Raw genomic sequence first — 20,878 nt, 5'->3', positions numbered from 1 at the left:
ACCAGCCTGGTCAACATGGCAAAACCCTGTCTGTACTAAAAATACAAACATTAGTAGGGTGTGGTGGTGGGCTCCTGTAATCCCAGCTACTCAGGAGGCTGAGACTCGAGAATTGGTTGAGCCCAGGAGGTGGAGGTTGCAGTGAGCTGAGATCACACCACTGCACTCCAGCCTGGGCAACAGAGATAAGCTACTCTGTCTCAAAATAAATAAAATAAAATAAAAGCCACACTACAAAAAAATGTTTAACCAATAATCACTATCTTTCATATTCTGCAAACAAAAAAAATGCCCTTAATGCCTACTAGGTGCCAGGCATTAGTGGGCACTTCACATAATGAATTTTTTTCCTTCACAACAGCCTTGTGAGGTAGGTGATATTATTCACTCCTTTTATAGAAGAAATGATTGTGTCTCAGAAAAGCTGCATGACTTTTCCAAAGTCCCCTAGAAATAAAACTCTGAACTGAGGTCTTTGATTCTATAACTCCTGTTTTTTTCATGTCAGCATTTTGACAGTTCAGCAAAGCAAACAGTCCACATGGGCAGTTACAAAGAAGAGGCTAATGAAAAGGTCATTATTAACTATAGATTTTATTCTTACAAAACGTTGCCTAGGTGAGTTTAGGTTGCTTACGTCAGTAGTGTCCAGGGCCTACACACTTAAGTTGAAGCTACATAGACCAAGTAAAGATTTATCATCATTTTTTAAATTATTGTTGAATTGGTATCAAGATCAACCATCATGTAATTCTGTACAGCCTCAACTTACCTGATAATTTGATCTTATTCACTGTGGTCATTTCTGCCATTAAAGTCTCTTGTTTTCCATATTCATCCATACACACAAATCCTACACAAACATACACACACACACACGCACACCAACAAATTGGATTTAAGCAAGAATAAGGAGCGATAGCAGAATTCAAAGCAACTCTTCTTTTGTGTCTTTAAGGTTAATTAGTCCATACTTTATTTTTGGAAAATTATCTTCCATATTTAAACAAACTTTGAACCCCCACTACTAAAAATTTTCCACAAAAAAAGTGAAAACAACAACAACTACATACACCTCCCAGAAATGATTGGGCAAAAAACAAATTTTTAAAAAAATCATTTGATCTGGGTCTTTTTTTTTTTTTTTTTCGAGACAAAGTCTCACTCTGTCACCCAGGCTGGAATGCAGTGGCGCATTATCGGCTCACTGCAACATCCCCCTCCAGGGTTCACATGATTCTCCTGCCTCAGCCTCCCAAGTAGCTGGGATTACAGGTGCCCATCACCACGCCCAGCTAATTTTTTGTATTTTTAGTAGAGACGGGGTTTCACCATGTTGGCCGGGCTGGTCTCGAACTCCTGACCTCATGACCCGCCTGCCTCAGCCTCCCAAAGTGCTGGGATTACAGGCGTGAGCCACCACGCCCGGCCTAATCTGGATTTTTATGTTAGATATGGACATTAGAAAATAACCTACTGTGTATTATCATCTCAACTGATTTTTCAGAAAAAAAAGAAAAATCTTTTTAAACTGGAGTTTAAATGTATGTCGTAAGTGACCAGACTTTTATTCTGATGTCTATACCAGAAAATGTTACACTGTAGTCATTTTTTTCTCTTTTGCAATCATATTAAACATTTGCATCCTTACTAAAATGTTTGAGAATCAGTTGGTCCTAAAATGGGAGCTGATGGGACAGAGTAGCTGCTTGACTGATCAGAAGTAGAAGTAAAGGAACAGGGCAGTCTCCTTTGAGGGCAATGAGGTCCCAGGGAAGTGTTGGTAGGAGAAACAGAGTCCAGGGAAACAAATGTTCTTGGGCTACAAAAAAAAAGGCTTTTCAGTTTGTAACAAAAATCCAATTCAACTTACAAATTAACCTTTTCTTAGTTCACTAATAATCTGAAAATAATGTCTACATTAAGCTAGAAAGTAAAACCATTCAATTAAGGAATTAAAAATATCAATATGAACTAAGAACTTTCTGACCGTAAATGTATAATAGCTCTTTTGTTAATTTGTAAAATAAGTCCAGGAAATATTTTGATAGATTAATACTCCAATGAGTAGCAAGTTACATTTTTCCAGCACAGTAATACAGTCTGCTTTATTGAGCACCAAACAGAAAGTTGCAAAAATACCCACTGGATAACAATCTCTACACTGTTAAATTTTAGCAGGTGGAATTTCAGCTTGCCAAAGACTCAAAATTAGGAAACTGCTCTTCCAGCCATCTCCAGACTGCTAACCCTTTATTTGGTGAACTGAAAACTGTAGGAAGATTGTCCTTAAGTATGTGATTAGATCTTGAACCAATCTTTTGTCTTCTACTACATTCCAAAGAAGTCTTTATGCCAGGCAAATAAGACAATGGTACATTATAAAAGGGATAAAGGAGGAATGATGGAACATCAGTAAATGCGGATCATGAGATCTCTGAAACTGAATCTTGCTTCTGGAAATTCATCCAGTTTACCCAAAAGGCAATAATAAGAATTACTGGATACATCAAAGAGAGGAGGCCCCTTTAAAGGAGAGAATAAAATAAAATAATTAAGCTACATACGGAAATTTACTTCACTGTAGTTAGTTTCTTCTACTAAGGTGTCTTAACATGTTTTAAATTTAATATTACTTGTCATTAAGCAATATAAAGAGTTTTATCCTGCCTGGAAAGAAAAATAGTCACAAGCATTATATTAACTCCATGAGCTAGGAAGACACGAGTTGTAAAACATTTAATATAGGACTGGACCGCAGTGGTTATTCGCAACTGAATAATGAATTGCATGTCACACAATGTATGATAGTTATCTGGGCTGCTGAAGTTATAGCTAAGGAATTATTGGTCTCCCTTATCTGAAAGACCAAATGTAATATGAGATCAAAGGAAGTAATAATAGTGCAGGAAACAACATCTAAAAAAAATTCCTCTGAGGATGAAAAACTGATTTATAAAGTTCAAGATTATCATTTTAGATTACTCAAGTCGGATCAAACATTTTTAGCAATATTTTGAATAGCCTATGTGCAGCAGAAATAAACACTAAAAAATTACCAAACTGCCAAACCAGAGAGTCCTTGTGGGGATGGAACAAAACAATATGTGAAGTTATTTTTAGCCATTTACATGGCATGAGAAAAGTCCATATAATACAGACAACATGATTATGTGACTTGGTTCCATTGAAAAGAGAAGGCCCTCAAAGTCTGCTCCAGAAGCCCCTTAGACCAAATTGAATCTCTCTAAGAAAAGGAGGAGACAATAGGAGATTTCTGGTCCCTGCCAACTGATGACACCCGTGTTTTCTGAATTGGCAGCCCCTGGTGACTCAAGGGTGGGTACATGAAGCATTTGAAGAAGATTGATGGGTGGTTCAAACCAACAGCTAGTCATTGAATAAGGTACCGAACTAGATTATTTTACTCCCTTACCAAAGCACGCCAACAAAGAAAACTTTAAGAATTCATTAACAACTGATTACAAGACATAATTTACTATCATCCTTAAAGACCTACAGAGACAGAAGACACCACATGGCTTCCCCATCTTGCATAGGCTTCCCTAGCAAAAGTTCTTCCCTCAAAAACTTCTCCATACAAAACTCAATTGAGATTAAGTGTAAATTTTTCTTTCAACACTCTATAAAATATTAACTATCTAAACATTTAAAAGTGGGTATTTGCAAAGAAGGGAAAAATTAATAATAGTTATATCTGAGTGAGATTAAGAATGATTTTTAGCTGTTTTTTTTTTGTTGTTTTTGTTTTCTGAGACGAAGTCTCGCTCTGTCGTCCAGGCTGGAGTGCAGTAGCGTGATCTCGGCTCACTGCAACATCTGCCTCCCAGGTTCAAGCAATTCTCCTCCCCCAGCCTCCTGAGGAGCTGGGACTGCAGGCACCTGACACCACGCCTGGCTAATTGTTTCTGTATTTTTAGTAGAAACGGAGTTTCACCATGTTAGCCAGGATGGTCTCAATCTCCTGACCTCGTGATCCGCCTGCCTTGGCCTCCCAAAGTGCTGGGATTACAGGCGAGCCACCGCGCCCGGCCTATCTTTTCTTTATTTTCCCAGATGAATACAATAAGCACATATTACGTTTATAAAATCAGAAAAACAAAAAGTTTTAAGAACTATCCGCAATAAGCACTTCAAGTGTAGGTAATAGATGACTTTTCATTCCCCCTTTAACTTACGTTTATGTCTCCCTTTGCAAACACAATCATGTTTCTAATACTTTCCACTTCTCTCTGTTGACTCTTTGGAATGTTCTATGAGCACTTGGGTCTCATTTGTTGTGCCTACGAATGGGAAAAAAAAATCTCTGGAGATACTGTCATGTAGTACTAGGTTAAGACTTTAGCAAGCCAAGTAAGGATATGATTTCCCAGCTATGCCTACAGGATAACAATAGCCATTACTTTTCTCCTGATTTAAATGTATGGTCTTTTGTGACCATTTACCTTACTGTGGTCTAATAATGCAACTGTAATATTAATTAATTCTATACAATCACCATTCTACAGAAAAATAGTCCTGAAACAAACCACATTCTTTTCACATTTTAAAATTCTAGGGACAGTATAGCTGATTGTGGTGAATCAGTAAACACATATAATTAATACAGAAAGCAAGAATACAAAACCAACTCTGGATAAGAAGTTTGTTTCATATCAACCACTGTTAAATTTGAATGATCCTAAAGTTGTATTTTACCTTCTGTGTTACACTATCTAATATAAGTCAAGCCTGTCCTATCCCTGAAGCTCTCCCCGACCACTCACCCACACAGATCTCCCTAAATTTCCATAGCCCTGTCTGGGGTTTGCGTACCCTGTCCATTTGGACTACCTTGTACCAGTGACAGCCAGATATACAAGTGACACACATTTGGGAAATCCATTTGGGAAAACAGGGTAGATTATATAGAAAGATAAATATAGAGATATATAATCTATCACTATCCTGTTTTTCCCAGTAGACTCCTTATGCCATTTTACAGGCCCTCCCCCACACCACAACAACCTCTCTGTTGATCTCAGTGTCTGCCACCATGTACAGCAAATATCTCTTGCTTGGTTGATTTGAAAGACTACGCGTGGCCTTATTTTCTCAATCTACCAACCCAGCATCCTTACCTGGGTCCAGCCACAGCCCTCTGTCATAACTGGGAGAGAGCGTGTTGGAATCAAGAGTCCCCCAGGCCGGGAGCCAGGACATCCAAACACCAGGTTCCAGTTCTGCTAATTCCTACTAGTGTGCCTCTGGACAAGGTGTTTCACCTTCTTGGCTGCCATTTCCCCATTTGTAAATCAAAGTTTGAGACCTGGTAAAGGTTAAGGTCTACTCCAGCTCTTAAGTGCTGTTAATTCCACATGTTTAGAACCCTGTTTAGAGCTTCCCTGTCCAATACGGTAGCTACTAGCTCACAGGGGGCCATTTAAATTCAAATTAAATTTCACTGAAATTAAACAAAGTTAAAATTCAGTTTTCAGTTGCACTAGCCTCATTTCAAGTTCTCAATAGCCACATGTGACTAGGGGTTACTGTTTTTGGACAACAGATATGGAACGTTTCTATCATGGCCAAAAGTTTAATTGGACAGGTCTGGAGTAGAGTGATATATTAAATATCATATTTGTCCTTCTAGTGGTGTGCCAACAGATCTAATTAATTTTAATTAAGTATATTACTCTCATTTCATTGTCAGTTTTAATACTCATAATTCATACATTACAAATGCAACATGTACTTTATTTTAAACAACAGTCACTTGGAAATGCTCCTTTTACTTGGAAAAATATATCTACAAGAATCATCACTAGAGCGGCAAGCTGAAAAACAGGAGCCTAAGATCTACCATTCCCATCCAGATTCCTACGTTCAGCCAGGCTGAACTCTGTTTTCCCACCCCTCACACTTGGCAGTTTTCTGTGAGCATGTCTTTGTTTGTTCACTTTCTTCCATTAGACCATTTCTCTTTCCTCCCACGTCCCTCCCCAGGTCCAAATTCATCAAGATCCTTTCCACAGTTATGCTGCGGCAAAGCTGGGAAGAACTGCGTCCAAATGCAGCCATGGTGGCTTAGCAACAGGGATCAGGATGGGCGGCTTAAACAAGTTGCATGAAAGAAATGCCCAGGCAGTCAGGTAGTCAGAAAGCATGCGACCTTGCCTCAATTTGCAATGTCAGATATGAGAAAGCTACATGGTTAATTTTCTGAGGTTGGGACTGCCTGAGAAGGTAGTAGCTCAGCTCACCAAAATACATCAAAAAATAAAATGAGGGGACAAAATAAGTCATGAAAGAAGGCTTCTTTGGGTCATTAGCAACTGCTGAGGCGGTCTGCCCCTCATGTGCATCTGGAGAAATGCCAAAATTCTCTGCCCAGCAGCACACTCAACCCTAGTAGACAGCACAGAACCAGACTATGTGAGCATGTGAAGTGTCAACCCCAGCACCAGGGAAAGGTGAACAGCTGGCAGGGGCAGGACTCCCTCCGTCAGCCCTGACTGAGAGTTTCCAGTCACAAACTAACAGTCAAGGTAGCCTTTGTATGAATCACTGCATTGTAAGAAAATCTATCCTGCTGTGTTTTTGTTACTCTAATTTTCTGGTACTCCAGAACAGATGCCACCATCCATTATCTATGGAAAGTCATGTCTTCCTCCTTAGATCTGCCATAACACTTTATATCATTCTTGAGATACCTACAATGCACCCTTACTGTTTCCTGTCCATTTCTTAATTCCTCTACAAGACTGTGAGTTATAACTGGTGCTTTGTACTTCTGTTTACCAGCATTTTAGCACAATGAGTAGCTTACTAGGAGATGAATAAATACAGAATCTGACAAGAAGTGGATGACTCAGTGAAGTGAATGAATTTATGAATGAATACTCAATAGCTAATCTGATTGCTACAGCCCCAAAATAATCTAGGTCTTACAGTGTCTCACCTTTACCCAGTCTTTCATACATGACTTATTTAAATCCTCTTTCTTTAGAGGGACATGTCAGCTGGTCACACATAACAGTAAACATCCAGCAACAATGTTAACTGCAAGGGCGTGTTGTTGATGTGTACAGTAGGTTGAACACTACTAAGGAAAGCTATTCTGAATTAAATTGTACCTTATTTCCTACTTAGTGCTTCTTCATTTAAAATAATTGTGATAATTCTTTTCTATTTTTTAAAATTATGATGGGTACATGATAACAGTATACATTTATGGGGCACATGTGATGTTTTCATGAAGGCATACAATGTGTAACGATCAAATTAGGATAATTAGGGTGTTCACTGCCTCAAGCATTTATCATTTCTTTGTGCCAGGGACATTCCAATTCCACTCTTTTCGTTATTTTAAAATATACAATAAGTTATTGTTAACTATAGTCACCCTGTTGTGCTACAGAACACTAGATCTTATTCCTTCTAACTGTGTTTTTGTATCCACTGACCATCCCTACTTTATTCCTTCCTCCCACTACCCTTCCCAGCCTCTGGTAATGATCATGCTACTCTCCCCATGAGTTCAATTGTTTTAATTTTTAGCTCCCACATATGAGTGGGAACATGTGAAATATGTCGTTCGGTACCTGGCTTATTTCACCTAACATAATGTCCTCCAGTTTTATCCATGTTGTTGCAAATGACAGAATTTCATTCTGTATTCTTTTTTTTTTTCTTTTGGAGACAGGGTCTCGCTATATTGCCCAGGCTGGAGTGCAGTGGTGTGATCAGGGCTCACTGCAGCCTCGACTTCCCTGGACTGAAGCAATCCTCCCACCTAGGCCTCCCTGGTTGCTGGGACTACAGGTGCATGCTACCATGCCCAACTAATATTTTATTCTTTTTTATGACTGAATAATATTCTACTGTGTATATGTACCATATTTTCCTTACCCACTCATCTGTTGATGGACAGTTAGGTTGCTTCCATGTCTTGGCTACTGTGAATAGTGTTGTAATAAACATGAGAGTGCAGATATCTCTTCAATATACTGATTTCTTTTCTTTTGGATATATACCCAGCAGTGGGATTGATAGATTGTATGGTAGTTCTATTTTTAGTTTTTTGAGGAATCTCTACTGTTCTCCATAGTGCTGTACTAATTTACATTCCCACCAACAGTGTATGAAGGTTCCCCTTTCTCCACATTCTCATCAGCATTCATGATCACCTCTCTTTTGGATAAGAGTCATTTTACATGGGGTAAGATGAATTCTCACTGCAGTTTTGATTTTATAATTTTTGATATCATACTTAATTGCATTCAAATAAAATTATCTAGACATGGTAAATTTAATTCCACATATATAAGATAATACATGTATAAAGTTATTCATTATGACATTGTCTTTAAAAATAAAAGATTGGAAACTCAATGACGATCAATAGGGGGCTAGAGAAATAAGTTATGATATAGCCATTCAGTGGAATGCTACGCAAATGTTTAAAGAAAGAAGAATGCTTTCTACCTAATGCATTCCAAAGTAATTCAATACATTGTTGTCTGTAATAGAAAATATTAGAAACTATATGAAGGTCCATCAATAGGGGGGTAGATAAATAAAGTGTGGCACATCAATAGAATGATATACAACTATGAAAAATGAGGCTACTTTGCGTATACAGAAAGATTTACAAAACATATTGTTAAGTAGAAAAAGCAAGCTCAAGACCTTTTTTTTGAGACAGAGTTTTTCTCTGTCACCCAGACTGCAGTGCAATGGTGCAATCATGGCTCACTGCAGCCTCAACCTTCTGGTGCAAGTGATCCTCCTGCCTCAGCCTCCTGAGTTATCTGAGACTACAGGCACACACCAACCATGCTTGGCTAATTTTTTATTTTTTTATAAAGACAGGGTTTCCCTAAGCTGCCCAGGCTGGTCTCAAACTCCTGGGCTCAAGTAATTCTCCCGCATGGGCCTCCCAAAGTGCTAGGATTACAGGTGTGAGCCACCTCACCCTGCCAGGAACAAAATTGATAGGGTGTTAATTTTTGTATGAAAAAAAGGAAAGAGTTTAAGATATATTGGCATAAAGAAATTCTGAAAGAGTACACAAGAAACTAATAAAAATGGCTATACAAGGGCAGTAGAATTGGGTTCATGATGGATGCGGGGTGAGCAAAACTTTTCATAAAATACCATCTCATATTTCTGTTTTTACCCTTGCAAGTGCATTACCTATGCCAAAAAATTTAATAGACATTTCCATTATGCTACATTTGTTTAATGAATGAATTTTAAAAGAATCTCTAATATATCATTCTTCATCATTCTCTCACCAAGTTTCCTTTCTGTTCTCTGCCCCACCACCCCCTTCTGTATCAAATGCCTTTATACTCACTACCACCCAGGTGAGGGAAACAGCTGGGGTAGAACACTTTGGAAAGGATTGGTTTTGATCCCATTTGAAGCCTAACAAGACCTAATGCTAAATTTAAAAAAAATATAGTTTGGGGAATTTGTTTGCCTAAAAATGAAAGGTGGGATGTGTAGGCTGGGTAATATCTGAAGACTTCAATAATAAAGAATTGTATTGTACCTGCTTCATGCTAACTTTTAATGGTCTCATTATCAATGAGTTTAATAATAATGTTTTCATTCTTGAATGAAGGCAATGATTCTCACTTACTCTCGGAAGAACTTATGAACTTTTTATTTCATTAGCCAAAACAGATTTTAATAAGGGAAGATAACTGAATAGCCATACTGAACTTTCTTTTTTAATATCACATCAACTTCTTAAATATTGAAGTCATTAATCTGTATTTGGAAACCTGTAATCATCTAAGGTCTTGTACAACCTTCCATTTATTAGAAATAAATTCACACAAAAAAGCGACAATGTTTAAATTTGGTGCTCAAAAGACCCTCTCAGCAAGAGGTAATAAAATGTCAGCCCCATTTAAATGAGACATTATTGACCCCCATTAGTAGGACACGTGCTTGACTTGACTTTTTCTAAGGGTGGTGATGGATTTGCTCTTGTCCATCCACACACTCCTGCCCCGTCCTCTCATGACTTGGGGCAGACATGTGCTGGACAGCTGGCTGGACCAGGTCTGTGGCCTCTGAACAAAGCAAACCTTGCTGGCCCACACAAAGACTGAAACTGTGACCTTGTTCTCATTAGCTCAATGCCCTAATCACCTGAGCTAAACAGCTACAAAAAATATATAGATTGAACTTTGTGTGGATATATGTCTGTGTGTGGGCATCAAAGCCAGGAATAAAATGATATATAACAACAAGCATGAAGCTGGCACTTGGGCATTAAAGGAGGTCCTCCTATAAGTTATGTGTCTTGTATGCCATGCCCCAGTGGCATCTTCCAAGCTGAGAGCCAAAATATAATCACCTTAAAAGAATTTTATTTCAGTTCTGAAACATAATATAATATGATTCTAACTCCAGAAAGAAATTGATCCTTGAAATTAGCAGTTAGTCACTGTGTACAAGGACATCCTAGGAAGCAATAGGTTCCATATCTTATATGATCTGGGTTCTCCTGAGCCTTGGACTGAACAAGGAAGTAGAGATTAAGACTAGAGCTAGAGGGGAAAACAGGAGGCAAAATTTTGTCACTAGAAGATACAGAAGCTGTTTATCCAGGCAAAGTTTCATGAAAGAAATACCTATGTTCCATCAGTTAAACTAGAACTGTAGGTGAGTATCCAGTGTGCTTGTGTGCCTCAGAACCTCTTGCTATAGAGATCTACTAACAGGAAGGGGACCTCCTCTCATGAAATTCATGATCATGGAGAAAGTCACTGAAGACCAGATTCCCAGGATTCTACTTCTCCCTGAATAGACAGCTATTCCAGTGCAACTAATAAGGGTCACCAAGACTGCAGGCCCAAAGCAAGACTCACCAAACGTGGAATATCTCAGATTAGATGAGAAATGTAAACACAAGTGCAATATGAAAAATTTCAATGTCATTGCTTTATTTCAGGAGATGAGATTAAGTTCAGCCCAGAAGCTCCTCCTCCTCACTCATTGGAATGGACCCTCTGTCAGGAATGACCTACAAGAGAATCTGGGTCACATCTCCAGGCACAACATTAACCATCAACCACTAGGAGATGGTAACTTAATGCATATCTTGGGTCACAAGAATCACATTCCATGTTAACTATCCAAAAATGCTACTTTCAAGCTCCTCCACTTTTGAAAGATATAATTCTCCTCAGCATGAAGTTCCAACTCCTTAACCTGACATTCAAGAGAAATCCAAGGCTAAGTTTTCTTTGTCTCTGCATATCCATGCCGAGCAGAGGGTTTCCCACATGAGAGAGCTTCCCACATAAAGAGTGCAATAAAGTATTAAATGAAGAAACAAGTGAATGGCTGAAGCTAATCCTAATTTATCTTTCCATGTGATCTCACTCTACTTCTCTTAATCTTTCCCTCCACTCATAATAGTCTTCTTTTTGTCCCATGAACATGGCTGGCTGTCTCCTTCCTCCAGACTTGTTTAGGATGTTCTCTCCAACTGAGAGGATTACCTTTTATCAAGTGCTTAAAACACTTTATATATATTATCTCAATTAATCCTAAAAAATTAACAAAATAGTCGCTATCATATCCTTTTTATAGAAGATGTCCATAAAAGCTAAGTAACTTCCCAAGATTACACAGCTAGAGAACAAGAGAACCAAGATTTGAACCCAGATCTGTCTGGCTCCAAAACTCTTCTCCCTTTCTGGGAATTATTCTTTCTTCATATCTCCAAATTCTGCATTTCCAAAATTGCTTTGTCTTTTATGGCTTAATGCAAGCTTCAAGGAGAGGAACTCTTCCTGTCCATTCTATCCCATAGTGATCTCTCATTCTTTTAACTTAGCATTGTAAACTCAATGTCTCAGATAACAATCATGGACTGCCTCAACACTCCATCTATTATTCCTTTTAACTTTTCACTGATCTATTCCTTCTCAGACTAACTAAATCAAAAGCTCATGAAGGGCAGATTCTACACATTGCACATCACTGTATCTCTTCGCAAGCATGGAAGAGACTTGTGCATGTGGTAGGCAGTCAACAAATATATGTTGACTGGTTAATGTTGACACCTCCATCTTTCCACCAAAATCTGTGTACCAATTCCTATGATTATAAGGATACACCCCTTGAAGCGTTTACCTCCTAAGGTTATCGTAATAAAGGACGAAAACTGGAAAGCTACAAAGATTAACTATGTTTTTAAAAATATTTTAAAGTTTTTCATTGTTAAACTTCTGGGGCATCTCTACTTCTGAGAAGTCTAACACACCAGCGTTAGTGAGATCATCTTGTTAAGATTTTCCTTGTTTCCTTCGAGTACCCTCATTTTCAAAGGTTAATTACCTGGTTGTAAACGTGCATTCCAGAATGAAATTTAACCTATGAGTTCTCCATCTTGAGGTGAATATTCTTAGTGGGTTTTTTTTTTTCAAAAGTAGAAAGCCATCTGTTTAACCAATTTAAATACATACTTATAGAAGAATAAAAAAATAGGAATACAGAGAGAGGTTCATGGATTTTAAGCACTTGTGAATATTTGTAAAACACATGACTTTGATGCTTGGAAAAAATATGAAGTGATACTTTCTGCTGTAAATCAGCACTGGCAAATAAAGAGGCACTAGAAGTTGTGATATCTTAAAGACAAAATTGTTTTGATCATCCAAAATGTTGATCATTTGTGGGCCATAGAAAAGGAAGATTTATTATTTTTGAATCATTCAATTTCTTAGGAAGATAAAAAAAATCATTTGAGAAAACATCAAACGGAATGTGGTTCTTATTAATATCACATAACCTTTCTCACAAAACTTTTCTCTTCTCCAGCCTAGCTCCCATTAGAACCAAACTAAACACGTTGACAGCTCCAAGTTAGGAAGGTGTTAGGCCAATAGTCTACCCTTTTGAGAAACTGAATCATTCATTCAATATCACTTTACTAGTTTTCTTCACGAACCAAATACATGGCAACAGACTCTATTCTGCAGGGTTTAATCACACACAAGTGGCAAAAACCACAGAACGCAGCGCCTAATCAGCCAGGCTTTCAACCATGGACTTACTCTATGCACATATGTCACTCCCATTATCATTAGTATCAATAAAACCCTGACATTTTACTCACTCAGGAGATGCTGGATCTCAATGTCTATGGTTTGATATGTTCTCATAAAAAGTATATCGCCTCATTACCAATAAGTTTATACGAATCGGTATGTTTTAAATTGAATATGCTCCTCCAGAGTAGAATAAATCATGGATTTTTTTCCTGAACAATTTTTGAATTATTTATTTTCTATTCTAAATACTCATGAAGCTAAAGTTAGCATTTCATATTTAGAATTTTTAAGACAACCAATGAATTCTAGGATTTCAAGTTTATTTTCAGTCTCAATAAACATTTATTAAATAATGTATGAATAAATTCAATCAACTGAACTTGGGAATGCAACCCATAATCATAAAGTGGTCTTCCCTAGAGGAGATCCCAGATGAAATTAAAAATAAAAGTTTCAAAAATTAACCTCACATATACCTCATATAGTTGACTCTACTTAACTCTGAGTTTGAATCCCGGGAAGAAATAGTCTTAAGATCTGAACAGAATTGCTTAGGCAGGGGTCAAAGATAATAGATGTGACTATATCTTTAGAAGAAATAGCTTAAACCAGATGTGGTGGCTCAAACCGTAATCTCAGCACTTTGGGAGGCAGAAACATGGATCACTTGAGCTCAGGAGCTTAAGACCAGCCTGGGCAACATGGTGAAACCCCGTCTCTGCAAAAAATACAAAAATTAGCCTGGCATGGTGGCTCACACCTGAGGCAGGAGGATCACTTGAGCCAGGGAGGCAAAGGTTCAAGTGAGCTGAGATTACACCACTGCCCCCGATCTGGGTGACAAAACGAGATCCTGTTTAAAAAGAAAAAAAAAAGGAACTTGAACAGTCCTTTCTAAAAAAGAGGAGAGCCATTGGGGCCATCTCCTAAATCCCCGGGCCATCCCCAAGTTGGTAAACCCAGAGTCATATTCCAGAGTCGTATGGCTGGCTGTACATCAAAACAAAACAAAACTGAGTTAATACCAACACTGCATTCTAAGATCATCCCATCACCCAACTCCCACCCCTACTGCCACTGCCACTGTGTATAGTCACATCTATTGTTACTGCCACAATCATATCCAGGTGCAAACCTGCTCATGTAGCCTACAACCTGAGACACTCACTGAGAACAGTGAAGGAGCCTGACATTGAGGGTGTGACCTTCCTACGCACTCCACTGGGGAGCAGAAGGAAGAAGACAATCAAGGCTGTGTGAGACCCAGGCTCCCTATTTTTATTATGGTGCTTAATCAAAATCATCATACCATGCAAACATTGGCATATATCATTTCACAACATCAAGTTTTTTATACAGTTAAACCATTAGCTTTTTGCCCACCAAGCTATAAGCTCAAAGAAGGCAGAGACATCTCCCTGGCTTCGCTAAAGTATTGCCTGCATAAAGCCTAATACCTTTCATATACTAGATGCTCAGTAAATATGTGATGAATGATAATAGATCAGAGAGCACACTAAGGAGCCAATCTGCATGGGTTTCATTCCTGCCTGTGTGACAGTGTGATCCTAGTTACTTCTTTGAGCTTCACTCAGTTCCTTGTCTACAAAACAGGGATAATAATTGTATCTTAGTGGCTAATCATGAAAAATAAATAAGTTAATATGAGAAACGAAGTTAGAACAGGAGCTGACACATAGTATGTGCCATTATTAATTATTATTATTATTATTATCATCATCATGACCTCTAATTACTGGTGTACAGTGGACCTTGATCAACTTCCAGAATATCATGCATTCCTACAGGTGTTCATCATCCTATGCAAGCATTTATCTGTATAATAAATCATCCTCCTTTTGTGAATGAAAAGACAAGAGTGCGCTACTTAATAAAATGAATTATTTCAAGGCCTGATGTTTTGCAATGTTTGAAAAGATCCTCCTGAGTAAGAAGCTTCTCACCACACTTGCCCTTTAGTATTTTTTTTAAAAAGTTGTATCTAAATTACTACCCCAGGTCCATTGCTATTAAACATAAAAAACAACTTCCACACACATACATACTTTGCACAAAATCCCGTCGGTGCGATTTTGACAGGTACGAGGAGACTCCCGATACTGCTAATTGTTCACTGGGCTTAACCTCAGATGATGATTCAGCTAAATGCTATATTGAATTTCATCACTTCCATTTCCCCTATTCCTGCAGTGACTCTCTGAGGGGTTTACGGTTTTCTAGAGTGGCCTGCCGGCTTGGGTGCGTGCACTCAGGTCACTGTGGAGGACTGTGTGAGTGGAACAGGAATGGGAACATCTTAAAACGAAACAGCTGCGTCAGAAGTGGTCAAGGCTCGGGCGCAATGTGATAGCTGCTATTAAACACCACTTTGAGCTCCTCGTGGCTTTGATGATTTCTTTCTTCCTCTCAAAAGTTTATCATTCTTTTCCTGACTTTAAGTCAACCTCATAAAATCAGCCCAATTTTTGTTTTGGTTCATATTAAAGTTTTGGTTGTATTGTCCATTCGTTTCAGAATTTTTGTTGTTTTTGTTTTTTGCTTTTTCTTTGTCTCTTTGGTCTGAGGAAACTATAAAGTGAGGTGAACCAGTCATGACAAATTCTTGTAAACAGACATGGAACTAGGAATTCTTGTTCCCTAGAGTTCACCTGTCTCACAGCCCTTGTCCTCCAAGGCACTTCCTGTTGGTAAGCATCTGGAAGTGTCCATTTGTGGTGTGGATTTTGTTTTGTGTTGTTTTGTTTTTTCAGGATCTGTAGTACCAATCTCCCTTCCTGCTACCTCTTAGTCCACTGCAAGCTAGTGGAGTGAAAATGGTTCTTTTCAACATCTGCCAATGGCGTCCTTGAATGAAATTTATTATTCACTATCATAAGAAAATAAGAACTTAATTGCATTGTTGAAATTTAAAATTTCATTTTTCATTCTGACAGTTAACTATTAAATGCACTTCAAGCTCCTAGAAGCAGTTCTAGGGCCTTCCAACCTTACTGTTAGGAAAATCATTTAAATAAAATGTTTCTTGGATTAATATACTTAATTCCACCTCTGTATTTAGCAAAATCTTTTCTTGGGGCAACAATTATTAAGTCACCACTTAAAGACTATTTAATGATGTTGAAATGAAGTCTACACTTAGTCAGCCAACTCACTGGGACTTTTTCAAACTCCCAACCACCACCTGGGATTCATCTCAATTCTCTGATTCTGTGTTTCAAATCAAAGATACTATTTGCTGTCAGCAAGTCCCCTGATTTATTTAATCCTTCCCCAAAATATATCCTGAAATTCTCACAATTTAACCCCTATTTGTCATGACAGCAGCTCCTCTACAATGACTAACACACTCTTCAGCATTATCAGGTGTTTGCAGAGGGCTCGGTGACTGCACTGGTGGCCTGGGAGATCAAGAGCAACCCTCTGTAATAGTGTTGTTACTTTATCTTCTCAACAAATCACCAGTAAATTTTAAAAATAACATTTATAATCTCCATTACTTCTCTCCGAAAATAAGAACACCCAAGCATATGGCAAGCATAGCATAATGTGTGGAAGCTCAAGAGTCTTTATAGTTCTCATTTTAAGAGCGTCAATTGCTAATTTAATCAACAATATGCATGCTTACTAGTTTTTAGACTAAACAGTACAATATAGGAAAATATGGGTTCAAATAGAATAAGGAAAAAAGAAAATAAAGTAAGGCAGGAAGAAGAAACAAGAAAGATGAGAACTCTGATTTTTAAAATAAATTGTGGCAATGGAATCTAATGTAACCAAGTTTCATCTTCTAGTGTGTAAATTAGTCAGCTAATAGATTTTTAAATCATATGTAAAACAGAAGTCCTATGATAGAGAGGTGGCATTTTTTCTTCTCCAAAATAGTAGGAAGAATGTCCTACAATCCATAATAAGAATCAAGGGGAAAAATCAGAATAATTTGAGTAGTTCGCTGAAAATCAGCCTCAGAGTTTACAACTCCTAAATTCTCAATTGTCCTTCCCCTATTTTCAGATCAGTTATGGAAAACAGGGAACTGAACTTCCTGAAGATCAGTAGGCATTTTTATTAAGCTTTTTATTTTGAGAAAATTGTAGATCCTCATGCAGTTGTAAGAAATAATAGAGATCCCATGCACGCTTTACCCAGTCTCTCCCAATAGTAACATCTTACAAAAACACAGTACAATATCACAACAAGGATACTGACATTGATACAGAAAATTTCCATTATCATAAGCATCCATTTTGTTGCCTTTTTATGGCCACACTCACCTCTCTTCCACCCCACTGCTCCTTAACCCCTGATAAGCACTTTTCTTTTCTCCATTTCTATAATTTTGTCATTTCAAGAATTCTATATAAATGGAGCCATACAGTGTGTTACCTTTTGGGTTTGGATTTTTTCACCCAGCATAATTCCCTGGAGATCCATTCAGGCTGTTGCACTTATCAACAATGTGTTCCTTTTTATTGCCAAGTAGTATTCCATGTGCCACGATTAACCATACATGCTTAACTGTTAACAGAATGGTTAAGTTTGTCTTTCCATTGAAGGATATTTGAGATGTTTCCAGTTTTTCACTGTTATTAAAGCTGCTGTAAGCATTCATGCACATATTTCTGTGTGAACTTAAGTCTTCATTTATCTGAGATAAATGCTGACGAGTACAATAACTGAGTTATATAGTAGTTGCAAGTTTAGCTTTTAAAGAAACTGCCAAACTGTCTTCCAGAGGCTGTACTATTTTACATTCCCATTAGCAGTATAGGAGTGATCCTGTTTCTCCACATACTTGCCAACATTTCTTGTTGTCATGGTTGATTTTTAGCCAAAGACAGAGATCCAATTTGGAACAAAAAGTAACAGAAAGACTTTCAAATTTAATGCATTGTTTTATTTTAACATTACCTGGAATTTTTTAATACCAGATCCCTTTGGTTTAAACTCTACAATTTAAATGCTGTGTACTTTAGACAAATTATTTAACATCTCTGAACCTCAATTTCTTTACATGCAAAACCTGTCCCTGCAAGTATAGAACTATATTAAAGGGATAATATGTGTAAAGAACATAGGATACAATAGATGTTTCGTAAATGCAAATCCCCTTCCTGCACATTATCTATTGATTATTATTTATTCTATTAATAATATATATGTTTTCTCTTAATGCATTCCCAGCACCACTTGTTTGGTTTTAATAAGAACAACAAGAAATGTTGGCAAGTATGTGGAGAAAAAGGATCACTCCTATACTGCTAATGGGAATGTAAAATAGTACAGCCTCTGGAAGACAGTTTGGCAGTTTCTTTAAAAGCTAAACTTGCAACTACTATATAACTGTCTGTCTCTACTCCATTCAGATGAATATGAATATCATTTAAAAATTGTGTTAACATGATAGAAAAGAATCAGGATGATATTGCTTTCAAAAACAAATTCAAACCCAGGTCTACCGCTGTGTGAACTTACGCAATTATCTTCCATCTGCAGTCAGCAACACTGGTGGTTTCATCTCTTCCATCTTTACAATGGACAGAATCAGACCTTCTCTACCTGCCCTATAAAGATGCTGAGTTCAAATGACAGAAATATGTGAACATTGATTTGCAAACACTGAAGAGCTATACCACTATGTGATCAATAGAGTAAAGCTAGTTATAGAAAATGAAGTCCACTGAACCTAAGGTCTCCTTCATTCTGTCACAGAATGTCAAGGTCAAGAAATGGCAGGAACCACAGTGATTTCAGAGTCTAGGACAGTGGTGCCCCAAGGAATGGGGTGTCAGAAGATTATAACAGAAATCATATTTGTTTTCATACAAACAATCAGAAATGAGTTCACTAATAGGGTAACCATTGGCATCAACACCCTTGCTTCTTCTTATGTTACTCAGCTGCCTTGAGCACACAAGGTAACCTCAGGGAAGGGGGAGCTCTTGACCACAGAGGGGTTAACAGTGGCCCTCTTAGAAGCACACATGGCCTGAAATGTGTTACAATTTGTCTGGCTCAGTTAGATTGAAATATATTATATAATCCAGTTTTAACTAAACTAATCTTCACCAAATGAACAAGGGGTTTAAAAATATTCCTGCAAAGAACCTTTCATTAAATATGATTCCAAGAAGGCAGACATAAACCATTGACAGGAAAATGGCAGAACTGACACTGCTCCTCCTCTTCTCAGCCACAAAACAAGACGGAAACACTGATGATATGAATCCAAAGGTAAATCAACCAGAGGATTTTTAAACCACCAAGGCTATTTGAAGTATGGATTTATACCCACTGTTGATGATGCTGAATCTTACCTTAAAACATTTAAACCTTTTGTCTAATTCTTCATTTTAATCTTACCCCTTTTTAGGTTATTTTTTGCACAGGTTTATCATGTACATATCAGTAAAGATGTACAGATGTATGATTTGCAAATAAATATACTTAAAATATTTTACTGCTGGGGTACATAATAAACACAGCAGGCAAATCATGGACCTAAGATATTCTATTTCTTTAAGGTGTTATTTTCCCCACTCTAGACGTTTGTGTCAGGCACCGATAGACTACACCACGAATGATGAAGATGGCATAAAACTAGATTTCCACTGACAGAACAGTGGGTTGTCATCACTAGAACCATCTTCTCATATCTTTTGGGAGCTCTAAAGACAGCCAGAAGCCATTACCTTCACCCTGTCAACCCTGAGGGCTGGGAGCCAATGCAGCCTCCTCATACCAATCTCCAAAAATTCTGTGGACTGTTACCGTTCCCACGCTTAGTGGCTCTCAAGAAGGTAACTGTGGCATGCCACTCTAACAGAGCTATGCCAAAGAGAACAGCTGATATTGAGTAAGTACTTACCCTATGCCAGCCCCTCATGTGAGTCGTCTCACTAAATGTTCACCACAACAACAGGACAGAGTCTATAATTATTATCCACCTTTTACAGCTGTGGTAACTAAAGCTGAGAATGGTTACTTTCCCAAGATCACACAGCTGATAACTTTTGTAGTCAAGTTCAGACTGTGCCTCTAACTCCAAGGACCTGCTCTTAATCACTATGGTATGCGGCCTTACATGCATAGTAATAACTTTATGGCATATCATTATAAAGATTTCTTTACAACAAAATTAATTTTTAAAATTTGTCACATTCTAAATGTAATCCTGCTTCCTCTTGGGATCAAAATGTTTACCAGAACACATAACTGATTTTGTAATACACATGAAAAGTAAATTACAGTGGTACTTATGGGAATTATTTTTATACACAGATTTTGAAAAATATAGCATACCAATTCTTGAAACAAGTGCTTTAAATCCTTTCTGACACAAAGCCGACATAATATAAATAACAATACAATAAAATATATACAGCTAACTATTTACTCAGTTGTGTCTGAAGTTATATGTTAAAACTTCTAGCACCCGGCTGGGCACAGTGGCTTATGCCTGTAATCCCAGCACTTTGGGAGGCCGAGGCAGGCGGATCACCTGAGGTCAGGAGTTCAAGACCAGCCTGACCAACGTGGAGAAACCCTGTCTCTACTAAAAATACAAAATTAGCCGGGCATGGTGGCATGCACCTGTAATCCCAGCTACTCGGGAGGCTGAAGCAGGAGAATCACTTGAACTGGGAGGCAGAGGTTACAGCGAGCCAAGATCGCGCCATTGCACTCCAGCCTGGGCAGCAAGAGTGAAACTCCATCTAAAAAAAAAAAAAAAAAAAAAAAAAAAACCTTCTAGTACCCAAGGCAATGAGAAAAAGTCA

The 20,878-nt window shown here is 37.9% G+C and overlaps 1 long non-coding RNA gene across 2 annotated transcripts in view; it reads right to left on the bottom strand.

The window, feature by feature from the left end:
- Positions 1-20,878, bottom strand: part of HAND2-AS1 (HAND2 antisense RNA 1) — a 62,656-nt gene that overhangs the window by 27,855 nt on the left and 13,923 nt on the right. The window contains exon 3 of one of the 2 annotated variants that reach the window (NR_136196.1): positions 4,200-4,304. The exons of the other annotated variant lie outside the window; for it this stretch is intronic. This is a non-coding gene — a long non-coding RNA (HAND2 antisense RNA 1). The remainder of the gene's footprint in view (positions 1-4,199; positions 4,305-20,878) is intronic. 2 annotated transcript variants of the gene reach the window in all.

The sequence above is a fragment of the Homo sapiens genome, chromosome 4 (assembly GCF_000001405.40).
Source record: "Homo sapiens chromosome 4, GRCh38.p14 Primary Assembly".
NCBI lineage: Eukaryota > Metazoa > Chordata > Mammalia > Primates > Hominidae > Homo > Homo sapiens.
The sequence above is the reverse complement of the archived record's forward strand: the minus strand, read 5'-3'. Positions and strand labels throughout refer to the sequence as shown.